Below are 6,541 nucleotides of genomic sequence, written 5' to 3' on the forward strand. Positions count from 1 at the left end.
TCTCTCGGACCAAAGGGCAGGATTTCATTTCTATCATCATCATTATCACTACCACCAAGAGGGGTTGTAGAGTAAGTATCCACAGGAGAGTGTAAAAAACCAACACCTAAGCCTTAGTGGGACATCATCTGCGAAAGTAGTCTCTGGGTATATGCAATGTTTCTCAACCTTCTTTCATTATTGCCCCTCTGAAGAGACTTTTCAGACATATTTCCTTATCAACCCCCTTCTGCCCGAAATTTGAAATGTTAATACCACAAATATAGTGTATACTTTTAAATGTATTGTGGACCTTTGGAGAGCCGCAAACCATTGCAGTGTCTACTCCCACTTCTCTACCCTAAAGCAATTTTTAGCCCTTTGTGGGTAATATTGCTCCTAGAGATTACATGGTATATTGTGATGAGGACAAGAGCTGGAATCCCATTTCTATCCCTTACTTCATGTGTGACACTGGAATCCTTTTTCAGTTTTTGTAAGCCTACGCTTGGTCATCTGTAAAAGGGGACTCACAATGCCTTCCTTAGACAAGTTTTCTGTGGGGTAAATGAGAAGTCCCATACAGAGTAGATGGCACCTAGTAGTACTTCAACGAATGGTCATCCAGGCCCACCTTTTTCCTCCCTCCCAGAGAAATGACGACTGTTATCTAAACCAAGCAGCATAACTACCACAGAGACCACCTGGAAGGAGAGCATGAAGATGGAGCATGTGCTCACACTTATACATGAACCTTTGGGGCCATTTCTGCGTTACAGGATGGCTTGTTGAGGTATTGGGGTGAGGTGAGAAGATCATCAAACCAATCCCCTATCATTTTCTGCCCCATCATTTGACCTTCTAGATTGATATTGGAAAAGCAGTTTCCCATTGAGTCTCAAATGAAGAAAGAGCGCAGATGAAGAGGAGGCAGGAGTCATAAGCCTTTGACTCTCATACCAGACCCATTACCACCTACAGGACATTGCACTGGGATTTCCTCTGCACCATCAGCTTCTTCAAAGAGAGACAGGTTGTTGAGTGAGTACCCACAAGGGCATATGAGGCAGTGCTCCTTTCACGGAGGCACTAGCTGCGGGGGCGTCTGTTCCTGCAGACCCCTGATTCAGCAACGAATGAATAAACGTACACTGACACACAGATACTGTGTTTTGCCAGTCCAGCTGAGTCTGTCCGAGCCGCTTACACACCAAGAGAGGTGCTGTACTGCGGCCTGCCTCAGTCAGCTAGGGAGATTTGCATTTATTCAGTAAGATTAACTAACAAAAGCTTGAGTCAACACCATTAGGGAGTAATTGACATTGTGGACTTCCTGAGTAAAAGGCACTTAAGCACCCAAGGTACATCAAAGGTTAGTTTTAAGATCATATGAGTAAACAAGCTAGCTAGACAGCTTCCCCACATTCCGTTGTTTACTATTTTAATCTATTTAACTAAAGGTAATGGGACCAGGCTGCTTCCAGTCCGGTCTATTACCAAAGTCATGTGAAAACCCTCAGGCCTTCCGAAAGGGTTTTATGGCTATCATAACTAATATTTTTCCCACCAGCCTGATCGAATCCCAACAGGCACAATCTTAGCACCATAAATAACTACAAGTGTTTAAGTCCTAGATGGTCATTATCTATAAAAGGAGACCATGTGTTGTCCTTTGAGAAGAGTAAGAGTTACAACTCCACTTCTGATCCTTACTAGATGCCTCTGCAAAATTGATTTTCCATCAGCGAGTCTGAATTGGTCATCTGTAAACTGGAAATAATGAAGCCTTCCTCGCAGACTTGTTGTGAGAGAATGATGCAAAATATGTAATTGCACATTTTTGGCTATAAATATTTGTGCTATCTTAGAGTAAGTGCCCCTTTGTACCTTTTTCCCCTTTGAAAATAGTGTTTCTGAGATTTCTCTAATAAGGTGACTTTGGGGCTGTTTTGACATGACTAACCATGCTGCCATAACCATCTTGCACAGGTTTCCTGGGACACATGTGCCTGAGACTCTCTGCAGTTTGTCACCAAGTATACAGCAGCTAATGAGGTCCTCACTTACTTATCTCATAAATGTTGCCAAAGGTCTCTACAAACAGGTTATACCAATTTGTCCTCTCACAGCAGTGTATGAAGTTCTCATGGCCCCACATTTTCCAGTTAAATAAGATGCAGCATAAACACATATAGTCATCAAAATTGGTTTTCAAACTGTAGAATTATTTCAAGACATATTCTGTGGCATAAATATGAACTATGCCATTTATACGGAAATATAATAGGAGAAAAATGAAAAGTAACCTAACATTCCAACAATATGATATCAGATTAGCAAATATTAAAATACTCTAAAAGTAGAGCAGCTACTTGAATCGTATCATTGGAGAAAATGTTTAGCAAGTGAAATTTCATTCCATCAGCAGCTACATGCTTTGTAGCAGCCCTTGGTGCCCATCTTATAGATAAATTCTTTTAAAGCAATGAATTCACCTGCTTGAGGAAATAACCTGACATTTAACATAAAATTGCAATAAATTCACATATAATTTTCTGTCTGTATAAATAATAATAAGTGACTCTATGTATCTCTCCGATGAGTGTTGAAATACGCAGTTGGTAGGAAGGTCTTCCTAACAATTTGAGATTATAATATGCATTCTTTCATGGTTACCACATTTGTATCCAGCCTATAATGACATTTTTTAAGAAGCCAGAAATTTATAAAGTGTTAGTAAAAAATATCAGGCGCAAGAATTCAGTATTTTCAAAACTAATAATTGCCCTCTAGTTTACCCTATGATAATGTTACTCAGCCACGTTCCCTAAAATAACCATATATCGTTAAACATCATTATGATTATTTTCCAAGAAATGATACTTTTAGTTACATCCTTCAAATGACATGTGTATCAACTTTCTCTAAATATTTAGATACACTTCATTGCAAATAATTATCTCGATTTCGGTCAAATGTAATGTGAACTAATTTGGTAAGCCATAGTGTGGACCTGTTAATATGATTAGAGCATATTTATGGGACTCTTTCTAATGATTAAGTTAATCGCATTCTTTAATGCATAAAAATACAAATACACTTCAAATGTGCACATTTAAAGTATATGTTTTAGTAAGTTGTGACATATATATATATACACACACACTGTGAAACTAATACTGTAGTCAAAATAATGAACATGTCACCCTCAAAGCTTCCTTGTGTGCTTTAGTATAATAATCTCCCCACTCACTTGTCTCCAGCCTCCGACTCCCTCCCCTCAACTCCTGCTCATTCCTAGGTAACCAATTAACTTATGTCACAATTAATTTTCCTTTGTATAGTTTTATATAAATGGAATCATACAGAATGTGTTCTTTTTTGGACACTTTTCTTTTTTTTCTTTTTGAGACGGAGTCTCGCACCGTCGCCCAGGCTGGAGTGCAGTGGCACGATCTCGGCTCACTGCAAGCTCCGCCTCCCGGGTTCGCGCCATTCTCCTGCCTCAGCCTCCATTTTTTATTCTCACCAGCAGTTTAGGAGAGTTCCATTCTCCACAATCTTGCCAATGCTTAGTGTGGTCAGTATTTTTAATTTTGGCCATTCTCATAGGAGTATAATGGCATCTCATTATAGTTACAACTTTCTAATGACTAATGATGTTGAGCATAGTTTCGTGTGCTTATTTGACATTTTTAGATCTTCTTGATAAAGTAACCATTAAAATCCTTTTCATATTTGTTTTGGAGAATGTCTATTTTGTTCTATGAAGTTTTGTGAGATATTCTTTCAAGTCCTTTATCAGATATATGATTTAAAAATATTTTTCTCCACCGGGCGCGGTGGCTCACACCTGTAATCCCAGCACTTTGGGAGGCCAAGGCAGGCGGATCACGAGGTCATGAGATCGAGACCATCCTGGCTAACACAGTGAAACCCTGTCTCTACTAAAAATACAAAAAATTAGCCAGGCGTGGTGGCGGGCGCCTGTAGTCCCAGCTACTCGGGAGGCTGAGGCAGGAGAATGGCGTGAACCCAGGAGGCGGAGCTTGCACTGAGCTGAGATCGTGCCACTGCATTCCAGCCTTGACGACAGTGGGAGACTCCATCTTAAAAATAGATAGATAGATAGATAGATAGATAGATAGATAGATAGATAGATAGATAGAAAGAATAAAAAATAAAAACAAAAATATTTTTCTCCCAGTCAGTGGCTTTGTCTTTTCATTCTCTGAATAGTGCTTTGGGAAGAGCAGACATTTTTAATTTAAGTAGATCTAAATTATCAATTTGTTCATGTATGGACTGTAGTTTTGTTGTGACATCTAGGAAATCTTCGCCTAATCAATGATAGCAAGAATTTTCTCCTAGTTTTCTTCTTTTGTGTTTTTTCCAATGTTTCTGTAGCTCTACGTTTTACATTTAGGTCTATGATCCATTTTGCATTGACTTTTGCATATGGCATGATATATAGATCACAATTTATATTTGTGCATATGAATATCCTCTTATCCCAGCACCATTTGTTGAAAAGAAGATCCTTTCCTCACTAAATTGCCTTTGTGCCTGTGTCAAAAATCACTTTTCCATATTGGCAGGATCTATTTTGAGACTCTTTATTCTGTTCCATTGATCTAATTGTCTACCTCGATGCCAACAGCACACTGTTTTAATTACTGTAAGTTTGGAGTGAGTCTTGAAATCAGGTGGTGTTTGTTCTCCAATTTTGTTCTTTTTCAAGGTTTTTTTTTTCTAGTGTAGATCTTTTGCACCTCCACATGAATTTTAGAATCAGCTCCTCCATTTCTTTTGAAAAAAACACACACTAGGATTTTCACTGGATTCATAGAACAGTTTGGGGATTTTTCCTCTTACCAATTTTCATCTTAACAATATTAAGCCTTCTGACTCAAAAAGAGACAAAAATGTTCCAGAGACAATTTTATAGGTGATGTAGAAAAAACTCAATTACTAGAAGAAAATGGTTATGGTACTTTCAATTTGATGTGGGTGGTTAGAATTGAATTTGTTGAATTTTGGAGTTTTTCTTCTTCATCCTCTGCAAATCCACCTTGATGAATTTGTGGAATCTTGAGTTGTGAGAGAGATAACAGAGCATATATGTATGTGGGTATATATGTATATATGTGTATATCACTAAAGCTGCTGGGAGTGTGTATTTTGAGGAACACTTGAGGTTAATTACTGTGCAATGTATCAGTACTGTTCAGTTCCTAGTACATATCAGGAATAAAATAAAGTGTTGTTTGTTTTTTTCCTAGCAGGGTTACCATGGTGACGTGGTTACTGTTGTGGGATTTGGTGCAGACTAAGCATGCATTTATAATTCTTACCTGAATCACTTATTACTATGAGACTTTACAAGTGCTATTTTTCTAATTCTGTTAGTCCTTCTAGATTTATTAAGTGGCATTCAACTGTAAAGTAGACAGGTCTCTTTGATCCTATTGTTTATTTATGTATTTATTCAAGCATTTATTTATATCAGTATGACTCATAGATTCCAATTTTGCCCAAAGGCAAACTCAAGATTCCACAAATTCATCAAGGTGGATTTGCAGAGAATGAGGAAGAAAAGCTTTATTACCATATAGTACTTTAATTATTTCGATGCTCAAATTGTCCCAGAATTGGCTAGTGGAAGCCCCTTCAAGTTGGCCTCAGTGTCCATTTGACAGCTTCCTTGAATTCCTTGAGCATGTCCTTTGCTCTCTGAATCTGACTATATCCCCATCTGTAGAAAAAAGTAATGATGCTTACCTCAGAGCAGCACCTTGAAGGCTTGAAGAGAAAAGGCCCTCAGCAAATGTTAGTTCCCCATTCCAACTTGTCTCCTTCGTTCCATCAATGTGATGCCTCTGGCATTAACATAATAGCCTGACTACCAGGGACAATATTTGGATATGTAACAGCAAGCACAGATAAACCCACATTTCCACTATGTGTTAGCTTCAGTGTCACTGCTCTGTGTGGCAGGGGGTTGTAGAATGGAGCTAGGGAAGAGGAAAAGTGTCATTACACAGCTTTTAGTTAACTGAGTGGGGACAGGCCAGACATCATCATCCCATCCCCTGCTTTTCATGTGCTTTCTCATCCTCTTACTTTCCTCTCTATTCCACATGCTTTATTATCTTCTTAATCTCCCTTCTAATGAAACAGCAGAGAAGGGTGTGGACTGTGCATCCTAGAACAAGGGGCTGATAGAGAAGAACCAAGTGTGGTATGGAGCCTGCTAGACAGCTTACTGGAACAAGAGTGAAAAGATCAGGGTCCCATCATTGGGACACTTTAGGTGAGTCACTACCCTTCTACCAGCCTCATGTGTATAACAGAATAACAGTACACAGTCTTCCTGATAACCAGTAATATACTCTGGAGTTTAAGTGTGATCCCACGTGGGAAAGCAATCTGTGATCTTAGGTGGGAGGGAAGGACTGGTGCAATTCTGAGTAATTACATGAACAGAGAAACCCTACAGATAATGTTTGGGGGAGAATGTACAGAGAATGTTTGGAGGTAGGGCAGGTGGGACCTGCAGTGC

General features: G+C 39.0%; 1 annotated feature.

The window, feature by feature from the left end:
• Positions 869-1,622: an enhancer, noted in NCBI's record as "OCT4-NANOG hESC enhancer chrX:102438681-102439434 (GRCh37/hg19 assembly coordinates)". NCBI's record gives its function as "activates a minimal SCP1, AML or CMV promoter by ChIP-STARR-seq in naive and primed H9 embryonic stem cells {active_cell/tissue: H9 hESC(naive and primed)}" and the evidence as "EXISTENCE:reporter gene assay evidence [ECO:0000049][PMID:30033119]".

This window comes from Homo sapiens, chromosome X (assembly GCF_000001405.40).
Source record: "Homo sapiens chromosome X, GRCh38.p14 Primary Assembly".
Lineage (NCBI taxonomy): Eukaryota > Metazoa > Chordata > Mammalia > Primates > Hominidae > Homo > Homo sapiens.